Genomic DNA, 19,980 nt, shown 5'->3' on the forward strand with positions numbered 1-19,980 from the left:
CTTCCCTCTTTATAAGGAAGCAACAGACAAAAGATAAATACAGAGGGAGAAAGAAAAGAAGAGAAAATCTCCCAAACAACAGAGCCAGCTCTGACTCTTCAAACACTTCCTTCCCCTTCTCAAATCCCAATTCTGGGGTTCGTGAAACTACTTAAAGGGGAGGGAGCCGCGAAAGAGAACGGGGGCTGGGGGGAGGGGTAGCGACAAGAAGATTAAAAGAGGGAAGCAGAGGAGTTGGGAGCTGGCGGTCGTTCCCGGGGAAGAACTGCTAAAACATGAGACCAAGGCACAGACCTTACTGTATGAGAAGCAATGCTCCTCAAACCTTCTGCGTGCTGACATAGACCTTCCCAGGTATCCAGATCTTTTCCCAATCCCACCTGCCCCACCCCCACCCCCGCTCATCTTCAGTAAACTCAGAGCCTCCAGCTACACACGGGAGAGCTAGAGGCCCAAGCCGGGGAGTGGGGGTGGCAGACGCAGCTCGTCAGTCCGACAGGGAAGAGGGGGCGGAGGCAAAAAAGGGCAGCAGGAGGCGGACGGGGGTGGGGGGTGATCCAGAAACTACCCCGGCAGGGAGTGGGGGAGCAGCGGATATTCCGGGGTAGGAACGGCCATCGCAACGCTGACAGAGGTTGTTTTTTAAGAAGCAAAACTGTTGGCGGCGACCTGAGCGCTGGAAGCCGAAGGGGAAGAGGAAGGAGACGCGAAGCCAGGGCGGCCGGCACAAAGGCGGCGGACTCGCGGCGGCAGCGCCTGCCCGGCCGGGAGCACAACCCACGGCCCTACTCCAGCGAAGTCCCGCACCGGCTTCTAGGAATAAAGTTTACGTTCTCCTGAGGCCGCACCCCCCACCTCCCACCCAGGACGGCACATCTCCGTGTCCTCCTCCCCCAAACTCCACTCGGGACCCCGAGAACCACCCCAGCCTTCCGGCCACCACAACAAAGAGCCGCACCGACCGGCGAGGATAAACAGCGGCGGAGGGCGAGAGGGCGGCGGGGCGAGCGCCTCCACGCAGCAACTCCGGAGTCCCCCGCTTGCCCGAGCGCAGTTTCTCCGCTGCTGTTTCCACCGGCTTTGTAACACTGGGAATTTACATCCTCACCCGCACCCCTCACGCCCGAGGATTTTAAACTCACCTTTACTCTCGAACTGAGAGTTGCGGTAGATGGGATTTTTGCCTTTTCCCCAGATGGTTGAAGGTTAAGATTTTTGGAAACCCCACCACCTCCTTATTTCTATTATTATTTCTGCAAGAAAAGTATAAAGAGAGTTGTAGTGGAGGTGAGATTTGTGATCGGGAAAGCCTTCGACTCCCTCCTTCTCCGTCTTCCGCCTCTCTCTCTCTGATTAGTTCCTATCCAGCAGCAGATTGAAGCAGGAGATGATTCTTCTCAAGGTTTGTTCAGCAGCTTCACTTCTAGGCGAAGGCTTCATGAACCAAGTGACGTCAACCAACAAGGCTTCTCTCTCTCTCCTCTCTCTAACAATGAAAGTTGCTGTTAACAAGGGAAAAAAAGAGAGAGAATTGTTTATACCATTTCAGTTCCAATAATAAATGACCTATCAGCTCCTAAAGGAGCCAAGGGAGGGGGTTGCTTCTTCTTTCCAAGAATACTGTAGCTTTGAGTTTGCACCGTTCCTTGTCCCAGGAAAAAGTTAAGAAACTTAAAATGTTTTGTTTTGCTTTTAAAGAAGACAGGACAGAAAACGGGATTTAAAACTTAGTTTTTAAAAAAACAAAAGCTACAGAGTAGGGAGCATAGGTCAACCATCTCCACCTAAATTTTTTTTGTTCCTAAACTCAGAATTCTACAACCCAACTAAATTAATATGCCAAGATTTTGCGGATGTTAAAACTCAAAAAAAGCAGTATGCAAGACGGTCCCGGGGTAAAATTCTACTGCCTTTCCACGGACAAGTTAAACTGGCTGTAATGTTTATGCACTAAGTTAAAATAAAATTTAAATAAAAGACGTTAAAATAGTCGTTTTAAAGTTATATGCACACACTGTAAAAGGTAATCTCGATAGCTTTTTTTCAAGTTTCTGAGAGATTAGAAAAAAAGCATAGCAAATTGTAGGCACTGAACACTTTTTAAAAATCAAGTTATGAGTAAGACTGGTAGCCCTTTGCTCCTTTAAACTACAAATGCAGTCATATGCTATGGTCTACCCCCAGAATCTCTTCCAACTTTGTTTTTACCCTTCCACTCCCCCAACCCCAATTCCCAAATCCTGCAACCAATCAAGTTAAACTAAAGATACAATAGGCCCCATTCCCTCCCGCACCCCATCCTATAGATTCCTAAAAACAATTTTTTTAAAAGCCTTAATCTTGATAACACTTTATTAGCCAAGAAGATACGTATTTTTTTTTTTAGAAGTTCGTTGAGGTACCGTTTTTTCCCTCCAGAACACAAGAAAGTCTCAAAGTTCATATAATTAAAAATTGCATAATTTAATTTTCAGGATGAAGAGTAAGTAAAAATTAAGCTATCGGAGAATAATTTGATCATCTATGTATATTTTATACATATGTGGATAAATGTATCTTAAAAGATGCTATTGTTTTATGTTTCCTCTTCAGCCACTGGCTGTGATTTTAATTGTGCTGGAGGATCTTCATTAGTATTAACACATGGGGAGATTTCACAAAGCTGCTTCATTAGGAAAAAAAAAAAGCTTGGCAGACTCGGTCTTTTTGCATGCACTGAGAATGTCAGCCTTACCTCGGTCATTTGTAACATAATAAGTGCAAGTACAATGATTGCAATGCAGGAGCACTGGGGGAAGGGCAGAAATACTGCCTGTCTAATAGGGATATCTGAAAAGAAGGCTGCTCATTACAGAGTAAAATGTATGCTAAAAATTAGTGAAGATGATGTCTCAGGAGACTGATGCTAAATAAATTAATGTGCTGATATGTTTTTAATTATTATTTTTGTAGTAGTTTATTTCATTCTCAGGATTCACATTGAGCAGCAAAGCTGTGCTAGCACTTATTGATTTTTTTTCCCTGCCACATTCCCGGAATACAGATTTTAATCATTTCACTACACCACACTCAGTAATTTCATTAAAAACTGGAATCTTCCATCCCCAGAAAAGCATTTAATTTCAATGACATACAATTTCTCTTTTAGCAGCAAACTGTCTCTACAGTAAAAACTGGCCTAAGGTTCAAATGCATAATTTAATCCTGAGTTTTCCATGCTCTGCATTCCTTTCAAGCTATAATTTGAGTAACTACCTAATAACTGTAATAAGGACAATAATTTCCTTATAATATATTATTAACTCATATTTAATTAACTCGGAGGCCAAGCTCTGTACATGTATGACTGGGTCAACAGTTCTATAATCTCAAAATTTACTAATAATGTTCCAGAAGAAAAATATAGATTAAAATATAAGTATGAATGCACTTAGTATCTAAGACTTCTATCCCAAGTCACATACAAAAAAGTTAATGCATTGTTCTATAATGGTGGTCATTAAATAAATAATATTTTTAAGTATGTGGAACTAAAAAATGGAATACACTGATATTTCTATGCGTAAAGTATTGAATATTAATGTTTTAACAATCTATTACTGACACTTTACCTAATCATTAGCATTACTGTTGAAAATATTTAATTTTGAAAAGATAAGGAAAAAGTGCTAGATTCAAGTTATCTTGATTTTCATAAAGAATTCTCCCAAAATATACCTCGCTTGAAATAAAGTTAAGTGGCACACTGTAACTCGAATAATTAAGAATACATCCTTTGCTTAAATACTTCAAACAATATACTGCAAAGCATGGTTCAATTTTTGGTTCCAATAATATTTTGAAATATTGGGATTGCAGATGCCACACTGGTTTCCCAAACAATGGTTTCATAATGATATGTAATTTACATTGCCTGGATTTTAGAAAAGAAACCTGTGAAAAAAAATAATTTAAAGTAATAAAATTCATTAATTTAAATTGTGGAAATATGTCTAATCTACAGAAAAAACAATATATGTAATGAAAGTGATTAACTACTATATAAAAACTCCAGTCATTCCCCTGAGTAATTTTAGAATCATAATTCAAAAATTTTTATAAGAATATGTATATGCAATTTCAAGCTGGAGCCATATACAACCCAAAGTTGTCTTTTACTTGATTGCACAAGGAAGTAACTTATAACAAAATACATCTTATCATCATCAAAAGGTTGGAAAAAAGGGGAAAAGGGGTGACAGTGAAAACCTTGATTTTAATGTCTTCTAAAGACATTTTAAAATATATTTTTATTATGAAGGGCTCGTTATATACTTCAGGAAATATGTGACATTCCCAATGGTGAAGTTATATGGAAATCAATAATTAACAAAATAGTTGCTAAATGAAAGACTGACATAGGTATCTCAAATTCATAAATATATTTCTCTATTTCAATAAAAATAATAAAAACTTTAATTTTATATTAAAATATATATTTAAAATTATTTAATGTTATTTGGTAATTCAGATATACAAATTAAAATTATTCAATTTAATCTGTATTTTTAAACTGATTCTTCTTAAAAAAAAATGATTTCCTAGAAATTTTAAACTGGATTACTCCAAGTATTTGATACCTTCTTACTAAGAAATTGTGCTTAAATTATTTTTAAAATATGATTCCTTCCCTTTTTCATGTTATCATACTTTATCATTTCAGAGATTATAACATAATCATACAGTTGAGGGGGAAAACTTCAGATAAAATAGTTGCTATAGTTATAAAATAATTTAACTCCCAACAGGACTTCGTCTTCTACCCAAGATCATCATCTGTATTAGTGCTTCATCATGTACATAATTGTGATAGAATTTAATGATCAAGCAGATCTTTTCCAATTTTAGTGAATAATTAACTCTGAAATTCTATACCTATTTACCTATCCCACAGACTATGCCACCAATATGGACTAAATTGTTGCACTTTCTTCTGTAAAGCAGCATCTGTTTTTACGACAAAGACAGAACTTCTTAAATAGGTAGATATAGAGTTGGATGGCTATCTAACTTACTACTATGGGTATTGTAGATGGTTCCTCAAAGAGTAAGAAATTGCTATGTACAGAGAATGAAGTCTAGGAAGGCTGACTACAAAGAAAAACAAACGAGAGATCTCAACAGTATAACAAGCTGGCCACTGTTATATCTTGTTTCTGTTTCAATCATTACAGCCTAATGAAGCTTTATTTGTTTTCATTCATTGAACAAACATTTGAGTGCTTGCTATATGCTACGCGCTATGCTAGAGGCTGGAAAAACATGAAAAGCTCACATTCTGGTTGATGTACAAAGTGTGAAATGCCTGGGAGATTAGAGACTCATATAAATCACATTATAAAGATACAAATAATAAAGTTTTGTGAGAATAAAGAGGATGAGGCAACTAATTCTCACTGAGAGACTAGAAAAGGCTTTATCAAAGAGATGTTATTTGAACTGCATCTCAAATACTGAGAGCTTACCAGGCAAAGAAGTTCGGGGTGGGAGGTGGTCTTCTAAGTGAAAGAAACAACAAGTGTAAATATGCAGAGATACTAGATCTGGTGTCCATCCACTAGTGAGAAATTCTGTATGCGGGAATATTCAGTATGGGGAAGGACAGAGATAAAGGAATGATAGGGATGTCATGACCAAGATGAAGGCTGGGACCTGACAGTAAAAGGCCTAAGTACCATGGTAAGGTGGTTGAATTTATCACAAGAGCCAACAAAGGCTAGCAAAGGAGTGGCATGATTGACCTTGTTTTGAGGGAACAGTAACTGTATAGGCAGTGCAAATGATAGACTGTAGTATTAAGAGATTGCTTAACAGTCCGTAAGAATGATGGTAGAGACAGTGGCATTGGAGATTTACAGCCAGATATTTCTGAGGTAAAATTTCAGTTTGGTGACTAACTGAAAATAGAATTAAGGAAGAGGAAGGAGTGAAAGAGGACTAGAGAAATTTCTGGCTTACAGTAGTTGCTGCAGTCATTAACTATGGGCCAGAATACATAAGGGAAAACAAATCATAAAGTAGTCTGGAATTAAAACCTGGCTATGACGCTTTATAGGCCTCTTTTAAAAATGGGATTATCAGAATCAACTGTAGAGATTGTTTTAAATATCTAGAATTGTCCCCAGTGTCCAGAATTCACTATGTGAATTCAAATGTCCCCAACGTCCAGAATTCACCATGTCTGGGTGGGGGGTCAAGTATTTCTTTTCTTCTTCAACTCTAAAGACGCTTCTGATAAACATCCCTGATTAAGAACACGGCTGTAAGCACAAATTTGTTAAAAAATTCAGTTGGAAAAAGAAATAAGAAAAACACAGGAAATCTTGAAAAAGAGAGCTTTGCCAGGGGTGGAGGGGACAATCATAACAGATACTAAAGCATTATAAAACCTTTAAAGCTTAATAGTTGGCACTGGCACATGAATAAAAAACCAATAAAACATAATAGGAAAATGAGAAATTGACCCAAGTACATATGGAAATTTAGTATAGATAAAAGCTGTATCTCAAAGCAGTGAGGAAGAGATGGACTTTTTGATAATTGGTGTTCAAGGCCACACATGGTAGTTCATGCCTGTAATCCCAGCACTTTGGGAGGCCAAGGCGGGAGGACTGTTTGAGCTTGGGACCAGCCTGGGCAACATAGCTAGATCCTGTCTCTACAAAAAAAATTAAAATTAGCTAGGTGCCGGGTATGGTAGCTCACGCCTGTAATCCCAGCACTTTGGGAGGCCGAGGCAGGTGGATCACCTGAGATCAAGAGTTCGAGACCAGCCTGACAACATGGAGAAACCCCCATCTCTACCAAAAATTACAAAATTAGCCAAGCGTGGTGGCACATGCCTGTAATCCCAGCTACATGGGAGGCTGAGGCAGGAGAATTGCTTGAAACCGGGAGGCGGAGGTTGCGGTGACCCGAGATCATGCCATTGCACTCCAGCCTGGGCAACAAGAGCGAAACTCCATCTCAAAAAAAAAAAAACTAGCTAGGCATGGTGGTGCATGCATGTAGTCCTAGCTACCAGGGAGGCCAAGGCAGAAGGATCGCTTGAGTCCAAGAGGTCAAGGCTGAAGTCATGATTGTGTCACTGCACTCCAGCCTGGGCAACAGAGTGAGTACTGTCTCAAAAAAAAAAAAAAAAAAAAGGCAAAAACCAAAGTGGTATTCAAATAACTGGGTATTCGTAAGAAAAAGGATAAACTTGGATCTGCTCCAAAAATAAAACTGAAAAAGATCAGATATTTAAACATGAAGATTTGAACCTATACAAGTACTAAAAAAAATTATGGGAGGATTCCCCAATAATTAGAGCCTAAAGAAAACTTTCCCAGCAATGGTCAAAACCAGATACAATAAAGGGAAATACTGGTAAATCTTACTACATAAAATAGCTTTTCTATAGCCAAAACAAAAACACCACAAGCAAACTATAAAGACAAATGACAAACTGTAAAGAAATATTTGCAACTTATATGAGACAGTTGAATAAACTTATATGTAAAGCCTGCCTAAAAACAGAGAAGAAAAAGACTAACAACCTGATAGCAAAATGACTAGAGAGATAAGCAGTCATTTTAGAGAAAAAGAAATGGGGCCAGGCACAGTGGCTCATGCCTGTAATGCCAGCACTTTGAGAGGTTGAGGCAGGCAGAGAATTAAAGACCAGCCTAGGCAACATGATGAGACTGTCTCTACAAAAAATACAAAAAGTAGTGGGGCATGGTGGTGTGCCCCTGTAGTCCCAGCTATTCGAAGCCTGGGAGGTCCAGGCTGCAGTAAGTCATGATCAAACCACTGGACTCCAGCCAGGGTGACAGAGTGAGACCCTGTCTCAAAAAAAAAAAAAAGAAGAATGAAAGGAAGAGAGAAACAGGAAAGGAAAGAAAAGAAGAAAGAAAGAGGAAAGAAAAGAAAGGAAGAGGGAAGGGAAGAGAAGGGAAGGGAGAGGGGAGGGAGAGGGGAGAGGGAAGGGAAGGGAGAGGAAGGGAGAGAAAAAGAAAGATAAAAGGAAAGAAGGAGGGAGGAGGGAAGGAGGGAAGGAAGGAAGGAAAGAGAGAAAGAGCAAGAGCATGCACGAGAGAGTGAGCTGGGTGCAGTGGTATATACCTGTAGTCGCAGGTACTTGGGAGGTTAACATAAGAAGATCACTTGAGCCTAGGTGTTTGAAGTTGTAATGCACTATAACTAACCACTGCATTACAGCCTGGGCAATATGCAAGACCCTGTCTCAGAAAAAAAACAAAAAACAAAAAACCACACACACACAAAAAGAAATGCCCAAGGGCATTTAAGGGGAAGAAATGCCCCTTAAATAAAAACATTTGTAACCTTGCTCATAGTAAGAGAAATGCACATGAAGAATTGCGGAGATACTGTTTCTCATCCTTCAGATTCCCAAAAGTCCAAGTTTTACAAAACAGGCTGCTAGTGAATGAGGCTCCTATAGAAAAAAGGGGCAGTTTTTGTTTCTTTCTTTTTTTCTTCCTCCTCTTCTTTTTGGAGTACAAAATGGAAAAACCCCAACAAGGGAGAATTTGGCAGTATGTAACAAAGTTACATATGTGTTTATTTTATTTTTGCTAGCAAATCTCACTTCTAAAAATCTGACCAACACTGACAAAAATATGAAAATAGGTATATATACAGGAAGTTATTCTTTGAAGCACTTTATAGCAAAAGCCTGGAAATAATCCAAATATCTGTCATAATGAAATGGTTGAATTAATTATGGAACATCCACACAGTGGAGTACTATGCAGTTTTTAAAAAGGCATGAGGCAGAGCCCAGCAAGCTAAGATCCACTGGCTTGAAATTCTTGGTGCCAGCACAGCAGTCTGAAGTCAACCTGGGACACTTGAGCTTGGTGGGGGGAGGGGCATCTGCCATTGATGAGGCTTGAGTGGGTAGTTTTATCCTCACAGTGTAAACAAAGCTGCTGGGAGGTTCGAACCGGGTGGAGCCCACCACAGCTCAGCAAGGCCTCTGTGGCCAGACTGCCTCTCTAGATTTCTCTTCTCTGGGCAGGGCATCTCTGAAAAGAAGGCAGCAGCCCCAGTCAGGGGCTTATAGATATAACCCCCAACTCCCTGGGACACAGCACCTGGGGGAAGGGACGGCTGTGGGCAAAGCTTCAGAAGTAAACGTCCCTGCCTGATGGCTCTGAAGCCAGCAGCGGATATCCCAGCACAGTGTTCAAGCTCTGCTAAGGGTCAGACTGCCTCCTCAAGTGGGTCCCTGACCCCTGTGCCTCCTGATGGGGAGACACCTCCCAGTAGGGGCTGACAGATACCTCATATAGGAGAGGTCTGGCTGGCCTCTGGCAGGTGCCCCTCTGGGACGAAGCTTCCAGAGGGAGGAACAGGCAGCAATCTTTGCTGTTCTGCAGCCTCCACTGGTGAGACCCAGGCAAACAGAGTCTGGAGTGGACCTCCAGCAGACCTGCAGCAGAGGGGCCTGACTGTTGGAAGGAAAACTAACAGAAAGGAATAGCATCAACATCAATAAAAAGGACATCCACTCAGAGACCCCATCCAAAGGTCACCAACATGAAGCACCAAAGGTAGATAAATCCATGAAGATGGGGAGAAACCAGCCCAAAAAGGCTGAAAATTCCAAAGACCAGAATGCCTCTTCTCCTCCAAAGGATCATAACTCCTCACCAGCAAGGGAACAAAACTGGATGGAGAATGAGTTTGACAAATTGACAGAAGTGGGCTTCAGAAGGTGAGTAATAACAAACTCCTCTGAGCTAAAGGAGCATGTTCTAACCCAATGCAAGGAAGCTAAGAATCTTGAAAAAAGGTTAGAGGAACTGCTAACTAGAATAACCAGTTTAGAGAACGTAAATGATCTGATGGAACTGAAAAACACAGCACGAGAACTTTGTGAAGCATACACAAGTATCAATAGCTGAATTGATCAAGCAGAAGAAAGGATATCAGAGACTGAATATCAACTTAATAAAATAAAGCGAGAAGACAAGATTAGAGAAAAAAGAACGAAAAGGAATGAACAAAGCCTCCAAGAAATATGGGACTATGTGAAAAGACCAAACCTACATTTGACTGGTGTGCCTGAAAATAACAGAGAGAATAGAACCAAGTTGGAAAACACTCCTCAGGATATCCAGGAGAACTTCCCCAACCTAGCAAGACAGGCCAACATTCAAATTCAGGAAACACAGAGCACAACACAAAGATACTCCTCAAGAAGAGCAACCCCAAGACACGCAATCATCAGATTTACCAAGGTTGAAATGAAGGAAAAAATGTTAAGGGCAGCCAGACAGAAAGGTCGGGTTACCCACAAAGGGAAGCCCATCAGAGTAAGAGTGGATCTCTCTGCAGAAACCCTACAAGCCAGAAGAGAGTGGGGGCCAATATTCAACATTCTTAAAGAAAAGAATTTTCAACCCAGAATTTCATATATAGCCAAACTAAGCTTCAAAAGCAAAGGAGAAATGAAATCCTTCACTGACAAGCAAATGCTGAGAGATTTTGTCACCACCAGGCCTGCCTTACAAGAGCTCCTGAAGGAAGCACTAAACATGGAAAGGAACAAATACTACCAGCCACTGCAAAAACATACCAAATTGGAAAGGTCATTGACACTATGAAGAAACTGCATCAACGAACAGGCGAAACAACCAGCTAGCATCATAATGACAGGATCAAATTCACACATAATACTAAACTTAAATGTAAACAGGCTAAATACCCCAACTAAAAGACACAGACTGGCAAAATGGATAAAGAGTCAAGACCCATTGGTGTGCTGTATTCAGGAGACCCATCTCACATGCAAAGATGCACACAGGCTCAAAATAAAGGGATGGAGGAATATTTAGCAAGCAAATGGAAAGCAAAAAAAAAAAAGCAGAGGTTGCAATTCTAGTCTCTGAGGAAACAGACTTTAAACTAACAAAGATCAAAAGAGACAAAGAAGGCCATTACATAATAGTAAAGGGATCAATGCAACAAGAGGAGGTAACTATCCTAAATATATATGCACCCAATACATGAGCACCCAGATTCATAAAGCAAGTTCTTAGAGACCTACAAAGAGACTTAGACTCCCACATAATAATAGTGGGAGACTTTAACACCCCACTGTCAATATTACACAGATCAACAAGACAAAAAATTAAGAATATTCAGGACTTCAACTCAGCTCTGGACCAAGCGGATCTAATAAACACCTATATAACTCTCCACCCCAAATCAACAGAATATACATTCTTCTCAGCACCACATCACACTTATTCTAAAATTGACCACATAAGACGTAAAACACTCCTCAGCAAATGCAAAAGAATGGAAATCATAACAAACACTCTCTCAGACCATAGTGCAATCAAATTAGAACTCAGGATTAAGAAACTCACTCAAAACTGCACAACTACATGGAAACTGAACAACCTGAATGAATACTGGGTAAATAACAACATTAAGGCAGAAATAAAGATATTCTTTGAAACCAATGAGAACAAAGACACAACGTCCCAGAATCTCTGGGACACATTTAAAGCAGTGTGTAGAGGGAAATTTATAACACTAAATGCCCACAAGAGAAAGGAGGAAAGATCTAAAATTGACACTCTAACATCACAATTAAAAGAACTAGAGAAGCAAGATCAAACAAATTCAAAAGCTAGCAGAAGACAAGAAATAACTAAGATCAGAACAGAACCAAAGGAGATAGAGACATGAAAAACCCTTCAAAAAATCAATGAATCCAGGACCTGGTTTTTTGAAAAGATCAACAAAAGAGATAGACCACCTGCCAGACTAATAAAGAAGAAAAGAGAGAAGAATCAAATGGACGCAATAAAAAATGATGAAGTGGATGTCACCACTGATACCATAGACATACAAACTACCATCAGAGAACACTATAAACACCTCTACGCAAATAAACTAGAAAATCTAGAAGAAATGGATAATTTCATAGACACATACACCGTCCCAAGTCTAAACAAAGAAGAAGTTGAATCCCTGAATAGACCAATAACAAGTTTTGAAATTGAGACAGTAATTAATATCCTACCACACAAAAAAAGTCCAGGACCAGACGGATTCACAGCTGAATTCTTCTACCAGAGGTACACAGAGCAGTTGGTACCATTCCTTCTGAAACTATTCCAAACAATAGAAAAAGAGGGAATCCTCCCTCTTTTTATGAGGCGAGCATCATCCTGATACCAAAACCTGGCAGACACACCAAAAAAAAAAAAAAATTTCAGGCCAATATCCTTGATGAACATCAATGTGAAAATTCTCAATAAAAAACTGTCAAACCAAATCCAGCAGCACATCAAAAAGCTTATCCACCACGATCAAGTCAGATTCAACCCTGGGATGCAAGGCTGGTTCAACATATGCAAATCAATAAACGTAATCCATCACATAAACAGAATCAATGACAAAAACCACATGATTATCTCAATAGATGCAGAAAAGGCCTTTGATAAAATTCAAAACCCCTTCATGCTAAAAACTCTCAATGAACTAGGTATTGATGAAGCGTATCTCAAAATAATAAGAGCTATTTAAGATAAACCCACAATAAATATCATACTAAACGGGCAAAATTTGGAAGCATTGCCTTTGAAAACCAGCACAAGACAAGGATGCCCTCTCTCACCTCTCCTGTTCAACATAGTATTGGAAGTTCTGGCCAGGGCAATCAGGCAAGAGAAAGAAATAAAGGGTATTCAAATAGGAAAAGAGGAAGTCAAATTGTCAATGTTTGCAGATGACATGATTGTGTATTTAGAAAACCCCATTGTCTCAGCGCAAAATCTCCTTAAGCAGATAAGCAACTTTAGCAAAGTCTGAGGATACAAAATCAAAGTGCAAAAATCACAAGCATTCCTACATACCAATAATAGAGAAACAGAGAGCCAAATCATGAGTGAACTCCCATTCACAACTGCTATAAAGAGAATACAATACCTAGGAATCCAACTTACAAGGGATGTGAAGGACCTCTTCAAGGAGAACTACAAACCACTGCTCAAGGAAGTAAGAGAGGACACAAACAAATGGAAAAACATTCTATGCTCATGGATAGGAAGAGTCAATATTGTGAAAATGGCCATACTGCCCAAAGTAATTTATACATTCAATGCTATCCCCATCAAGCTACCAGTGACTTTCTTCACAGAATTAGAAAAAACTACTTTAAATTTCATATGGAACCAAAAATGAGCCCGCATGGCCAAGACAATCCTAAGCAAAAAGAACAAAGCTGTAGGCGTCACGCTACCTGACTTCAAACTATACTACAAGGCTACAGTAATCAAAACAGCACAGTACTGGTACCGAAACAGATATATAGACCAATGAAACAGAACAGAAACCTGAGAAATAACACCACACATCTACAACCATGTGATCTTTGACAAACCTGAGAAAAAGAAGCAATGGGGAAAGGATTCCCTATTTAATAAATGGTGTTGGGAAAACTGGCTAGCCATATGCAGAAAACTGAAACTGGACCACTTCCTTACACCTTATACAAAAATTAACTCAAGACGGATTAAAGACTTAAACGTAAGACCTAAAACCATAAAAACCCTAGAAGAAAACCTAGGCAATACCATTCAGGACATAGGCAAGGGCTAAGACTTCATGAGTAAAACACCAGAAGTAATGGCAACAAAAGCCAAAATTGACAAATGGGACTAATTAAACTAAGGAGCTTCTGCACAGCAAAAGAAACTATCATCAGAGTGAACAGGAAACCTACAGAATGGGAGAAAATTTTTGCAATCTATCCATGTGACAAAGAGCTAATATCCAGAATCTACAAAGAGCTTAAACAAATTTACAAGAAAAAACAAACAACCCCATCAAAAAGTGGGGTGGGTGAAGGATGTGAACAGGCACTTCTCAAAAGAAGACATTTATGCAGCAAACAAACATATGAAAAAAAGCTCATCATCACTGGTCATTAGAGAAATGCAAATCAAAACCACAATGAGCTACCATCTCATGCCAGTTAGAATGGCAATCATTAAAATGTCAGGAAACAACAGATGCTGGGGAGAATGTAGAGAAATAGGTATGCTTTTATACTGTTGGTGGGAGTGTAAATTAGTTCAACCATTGTGGAAGACAGTGTGGCAATTCCTCAAGGATCTAGAACTAGAAATACTATTTGACCCAGCAATCTCATTAGTGGGTATATACCCAAAGGATTATAAATCATGCTACTATAAAGACACGTGCACACATATGTTTATTGCAGCACTATTCACAATAGCAAAGACTTGGAACCGACCCAAATGCCCATCAATGATAGACTGGATAAAGAGAATGTGGCACATATACAACATGGAATACTATGCGGCCATATAAAAGGATGAGTTCATGTCCTTTGCAGGCACATGGATGAAGCTGGAAACCATCATTCTCAGCAAACTAACACAAGAACAGAAAAGCAAACACCGCATGTTCTCACTCATAAGTGGGAGTTGAACAATGAGAACACATGGACACAGCGAGGGGAACGTCACACACTGGGGCCTGTTGGGGGATAGGGGGCTAGGGGAGGGATAGCATTAGGAGAAATACCTAATGTAGATGATGGGTTAATGGATGCAGTAAACCACCATGGCATTTGTATACCTACATAACAAACCTGCACATTCTGCACATGTAACCCAGAACTTAAAGTATAATAAAAAATAAAATATAAAGAAATAAAAATTAAAAAGTATGAGGGACATATACAGTATGAAGCACTTTACAGTGAATTCCAGTATTTATCGTTAAGTGAAGAAAGCAAGTTGGAGAAAAATGTAGTATAGTATGTCACCATTCATCTAAATATTTACCTATTTTTTAACTGAAAGGATAAATTAAAACCTTTAAAAAAACATGGTTACCTAAAAGGAGGAAGGGAGCAGAGTAGTAAAAATAGGAACAGTACAGTATGTGGGTATCTCATAAAACCTGTATTGTAGATGTGAATTTGGAACCATATAAAGTCATTTACATTATTATAATAAAAGAGAAACAAAGTTAAAAAGCAGGCCAGTTGCACTGGCTTGCATCTGTAATCCCAGTGCTTTGGGAAGCCAAGGCAGGAGGATTGCTTGAGCCCAGGAGTTCAAGGCTGCAGTGGGCTATGACCATGCCACTACATTTCAGCCTGGGCAAGAGAGTGAGACTGCATCTCAAAAAAACCAAAAAAACAAAATACAATCCCATAAAAGTGAAACCCAAAAAAATAAATGAACTTACTTGTATGTGAAGTTGGTGGCATAACCATAGAGAATTATTCCAAGTGACTTTAAAACACAACAACTAAAACACACTAAGTTAACAGTATATAGTATTCAAAGCAACAAGACAAAACAGCAACTGAAATTATCACTAACCGTATTCTTCTCTCTTTTTTTTTTTTTGAGACGGAGTCTCGCTCTGTCGCCCAGGCTGGAGTGCAGTGGCGCAATCTCGGCTCACTGCAAGCTCCGCCTCCCGGGTTCACGCCATTCTCCTGCCTCAGCCTCCCGAGTAGCTGGGACTACAGGCGCCCGCTACCACGCCCGGCTAATTTTTTTGTATTTTTAGTAGAGACAGGGTTTCACCGTGTTAGCCAGGATGGTCTCGATCTCCTGACCTCGTGATCCGCCCGCCTCGGCCTCCCAAAGTGCTGGGATTACAGGCGTGAGCCACCGCGCCCGGCCAGACTAACCGTATTCTTATGCTATTATTGGTGGTGTTATTGTAACACTGTTGCAAGCACAGTCTGAGAAAAAGCAAATGGCCAGGCCCAGTGGCTCACGTGTGTAGTCCCAACATTTTGAGAGGCCCAAGTAGGAGGATTGCTTGAGCTCAGGAGTTAGAGACCAGCCTCGGCAACGTGGTGAAACCCCAACTTTACAAAAAAATTTTAAAATTTACCCGGGCATGGTGGTACACACCTGTAGTCCCAGGTACTCAGGAAGTTGAGGTGGGAGGACTGCTTGAGCCCAGGAGGGCAAAACTACAGTGAGCCATGATTGTGCCACTGCATTCCAGCCTGGGCAACAAAGCAAGACCCTGTCAAAAAATAAATGAATAAATAAATAAAAAGAAAAAAATGAATATGTTGGTGTTTTTGGGAAATTAATTTTTGAATTGCATAAAAACTCTGTGATACTGAATTTAAAATGTATGTATTAGAATGAACTCATTTTATATTTTATACTTAAAAATACATCTTACTTGCATACTGTAAATACCTAGAAACAGGGACCAGTGTATAGCAACCAGCACATACCCACAGTATACAGATTATGGTCTCTATACACCATCTACCCCTAAAAAATTCCATGAAGCAATGGCTGACTCCATATTTGGGTCAAGAAATATTCAAAAATGAGCTTAGAATACCCTGTCACACCAGTAAGCATGGAAATTATGAAAGATTATTGGTGTCATGTCAAAAGGACTTGGTAGCCAATTTGAAGGGTCCAATATAAGGTGGCTCCCATTGGCCAAAGATGAAACAATTTGAATGTTAACAATAACTGCAATGGATAGAAACATAACAAATGTGTATTTTAATAAATGAGTTCATAATTATACTAAAAAAACCTTTTTGTTCACCTTTGAATGATGCTAGGGAACCAACTCATTTTGAAAACTGGTAAATAAAGGTAACAAATCAAGAATTTACTCAACATTTCCTTTCAAATGTTGGTAAGAAACCAAATTTCAAATGGTACATGCAAATATATGTGTCCAATACATGTATGTGTATATATATATATGTACATCTATATATCACAAGATTTCAACATAGATTTCATTTTTAAAAAGAAGAAATTTAAAGATCTCATTGTCCTTTAACAGTTATAGGTAAGCTGCAGACAATTTACCTGTGAGTTTCAATGCAGACAAAATGAAGAGGGAATATAATTACCATTCTCCTTATCTGGTAAGTCAGAAATTTAGCAATTCATTAAGACAAAATTAACAAAATATTGGAGTAATAGAGAAAGTTTTTGAAGTAATTTTACATCAGGTACATAGAGATCATTTGTATGATCTTTCCCATGACAATCCTGTATGAAATCCAAGGGCATAATAACAAATAGAATAAATTGATTGAGTTAACTAACAGACTGCTGTTCACCCAAGCCAGTCACACAAAGCTGTGTAGGTTATGCACAGCACTACAGGGGCATCAATGTGCTGGGCCTGATTCTGCCCAGCTTATAAAAGTCAAATGCTAAATTCTCAGGAATTTTGCAAGCTGGTTATTAAATAGTCATTACCAAAAAATAAATATCTTCAAACATAAAATAAATTTAAATTTATTTATTAAAAACAAGTCCTTAAAACTCATCACATCTTACTCTACTATTATGTATGCACTTGAGGTTATTTATCTCTATTGTACTATGGCAAAGAAACACCTATGTAGTGGTGTGCTACTGTGCATCTCGTCCCAACTCTGTGATAAGTGATGTCATGTTGGAAGCCTGAAATCAGCCATGGTGGGAATGTTTACGCCTCATATATAACTTAATGTGGGCTATAATTTAATGTGGTGCTGATAAACTTAAGAGACAGAAAAAATTTACATAGTGCAAATTAAAGTGATACACTGTAAATATCACAAGAAATGAGGAAATAATCTTCCAATATTTCAAAACTATTAAAAATCTAGCAAGAAGTTGTTCACATCACTGATGAAAAAGTAAAGTTCCAACATATACTTTTGTTGTTTTATGTTCCTCTTACTCGTTTAAACAAAAATATCAATAAACATGCATGTCAGAATTGCATTTGCTCAACAATTGCAACCATAGATTGGCTACCAGTAAGACTACAGACACAAGGGTTGGGTAAAAATCAACTAGGGCATTCTGTGAGAATCAACTGGCTATATGAATTTTACAAGACAGTACTGCATATTTTATTATTATTTGTGAATTGTATGATACTGCTGTTACATCAATAGAATTTATAAACTTAGGTATGTACTTATAAGCATACATTTTTATTCCCAGAAAGTCTTTTTTTTTTTTTTTAGACAAGGTCTCACTCTCCCAGAAAGTCTATTTTTAAAAGAGTTACCAGCACACCTCTGTTGAGGCGGAGCAAAACTGCTAGCCCTTGAAGAATGCACAGTCCAACTGAGAGGCATTCACACCCCAAAGTATCTGATACAATGTGATAACTACTCTAATATAAATATTCAAAATAAAATGATTACACAATTTACTTAGTAAGGAATGACTACTTTTTCTGGGTAGAGACAGGCGAAGGAGAATACATATCCTCAGTGTGTTAAAGAGGCCACCTGACAGTGATTAAACCATGTTTGCATCATAGGTTGTCCTCACATATTATCTTCAGCATTAAAATTCATAATAGTTTAGCCCTGAAGGACAGTTTCAAGCTATTCATGGTACTACCACATGCCATTTGGGAAAGCTCCCTGAAATCACTAAAATGGTCTTTTTTAGGGTCATGGGGAAATGTTTTTATCTCATATCTGATTTTAAAAATTCATGACTACCTTCTCTCTTGATAGCCAGTATGTTTCAGGTTGGAAACCAGAGTTTTTATATTCACTGCCCATTTATTTTCACTTTATTCTTTTTTTTTTTTTTTTTTTTAAGATAGAGTCTCACTCCGTCACCCAGGCTGGAGCGCAGTGGCACGATCTCGGCTCACTGCAACTCTGCTTCCCAGGTTCAAGCAATTCTCATGCCTCAGCCTCCCAAGTAGCTGGAATTACCAGAACGTACCACCACATCCAGCTGATTTTTGTATATTTAGTAGAGATGAGGTTTTGGCATGTTGGCCAGGCTGGTCTTGAACTCCTGACCTCAGGTGATCTACCCACCTCGGGCTCCCAAAGTGCTGGGATTACAGGTGTGAGCCACCGTGCCCAGCCATATTTTCACTGTATTCTAAAAAATATATACACAAGGACCAAAATTCAATAATGAGTACAATTTTCACTACTGCCTTTAATAAGACAACCAAGATCAGAGTTCACATTTATAGACAATTATGTTCTAGGAATAGCACAGTGTGAGAATATTCTAGTGCAATTTCTTTAACGTAATGGTGATCTTTCTTGTTCTATAGCTGCTGCTCTGTTAATACTGATCTCAACACATCATTTTTAGAAAACTTTTTTGACTCACAAAATAATCACAAGCCAATTTTTAAAAATCTCATCCCCTTTTTGCAAGGATTTTCAATATGAAAGGAACAAGCTGTCAAGCACTTCCCCCCTTACATGAACCGCATGTAGATCAAAGATTTGCTCATACCCTTGCCATAGAAAATCTGCATCCAACTGTAATGGTAATTATCCATTAGCATGCACATGTTAGAATAATTGTGCTTTCATATTATACATTGTTGATATTATACTGTCCAAAAGTATCATGTGTATAAAGAATTTTGACGAGTTGATTTTTGCCTTCACTATAGACAAAATATTATTTCGCTGCTGGTTTAATGAATTTAGCAACTGTGTGGTTTTATGTCTGATTTTACTCTGAGGAGTGCAATACTGAATGATAACTTCCTTAGCTTTAGTTTCTTCTCCACCTTTGAAGACAAAAATACTAAAAAGCATTATTTTCTGCTTATTCTGGAAAGCGTTTACTGTTTTACCAGTAATGTTTACTGAAAATGTCACTGAGTTTTGTTTAAAAGATAGTCAATGACTTTAAAACACCCCTAGCCTGAATGACTTAAAATTACTTTTTAAAACTTCTCTCTTTTTCCCTCCATATATTTAATGAAGAGACAATCCAAAGAGAGGCGAATTATCTTTGGAGAAACAAAACAAGTGGCAGAAGTCACATGGCTACAAGGTGCTACAAACAGGATTTTTTCAAATAGCAAAGAAAAATGGCCATACCATGAGAAATTTAGTATGGCTAAAGTCTAGGAATAGAAAGAAGACATGTCAGCTGG

The 19,980-nt window shown here is 38.8% G+C and overlaps 1 protein-coding gene and 1 long non-coding RNA gene across 21 annotated transcripts in view, besides 5 other annotated features; one reads left to right on the forward strand and one right to left on the reverse strand.

Annotated features, from left to right (window-relative positions):
* The window catches only part of BAZ2B (bromodomain adjacent to zinc finger domain 2B), a 397,131-nt gene that overhangs the window by 299,788 nt on the left and 77,363 nt on the right, over positions 1–19,980 (reverse strand). For 14 of the 19 annotated variants that reach the window (XM_047444047.1, XM_047444046.1, XM_047444040.1 and 11 more), the window contains one exon: positions 1,143–1,502. The gene's annotated coding sequence lies outside the window, so the exon portion shown is untranslated. Of the gene's footprint in view, positions 1–294; positions 1,503–19,980 lie in introns of those variants that run through there. The other 5 variants (XM_005246488.3, NM_001329858.2, NM_001329857.2 and 2 more) reach the window with 3 other exon arrangements.
* Positions 195–2,943, forward strand: BAZ2B-AS1 (BAZ2B antisense RNA 1). Of its 2 annotated transcripts, none has more exons than NR_110587.1 (2): positions 195–354; positions 648–2,943. It is a non-coding gene; the product is annotated as a BAZ2B antisense RNA 1 (long non-coding RNA). The 2 variants fall into 2 exon arrangements; NR_110588.1 differs by having other exon boundaries at positions 651–2,943.
* Positions 985–1,511: an enhancer, noted in NCBI's record as "NANOG-H3K27ac-H3K4me1 hESC enhancer chr2:160472595-160473121 (GRCh37/hg19 assembly coordinates)". NCBI's record gives its function as "activates a minimal SCP1, AML or CMV promoter by ChIP-STARR-seq in naive H9 embryonic stem cells {active_cell/tissue: H9 hESC(naive)}" and the evidence as "EXISTENCE:reporter gene assay evidence [ECO:0000049][PMID:30033119]".
* Positions 985–1,538: a biological region, named in NCBI's record as "NANOG-H3K27ac-H3K4me1 hESC enhancer GRCh37_chr2:160472595-160473121".
* Positions 1,139–1,218: an enhancer, noted in NCBI's record as "active region_16685". NCBI's record gives its function as "activates an Ori minimal core promoter by ATAC-STARR-seq in GM12878 lymphoblastoid cells {active_cell/tissue: GM12878}" and the evidence as "EXISTENCE:reporter gene assay evidence [ECO:0000049][PMID:35858748]".
* Positions 1,469–1,538: an enhancer, noted in NCBI's record as "active region_16686". NCBI's record gives its function as "activates an Ori minimal core promoter by ATAC-STARR-seq in GM12878 lymphoblastoid cells {active_cell/tissue: GM12878}" and the evidence as "EXISTENCE:reporter gene assay evidence [ECO:0000049][PMID:35858748]".
* Positions 8,635–9,136: an enhancer, noted in NCBI's record as "H3K4me1 hESC enhancer chr2:160480245-160480746 (GRCh37/hg19 assembly coordinates)". NCBI's record gives its function as "activates a minimal SCP1, AML or CMV promoter by ChIP-STARR-seq in naive H9 embryonic stem cells {active_cell/tissue: H9 hESC(naive)}" and the evidence as "EXISTENCE:reporter gene assay evidence [ECO:0000049][PMID:30033119]".

This window comes from Homo sapiens, chromosome 2 (genome assembly GCF_000001405.40).
Source record: "Homo sapiens chromosome 2, GRCh38.p14 Primary Assembly".
Classification (NCBI taxonomy): domain Eukaryota; kingdom Metazoa; phylum Chordata; class Mammalia; order Primates; family Hominidae; genus Homo; species Homo sapiens.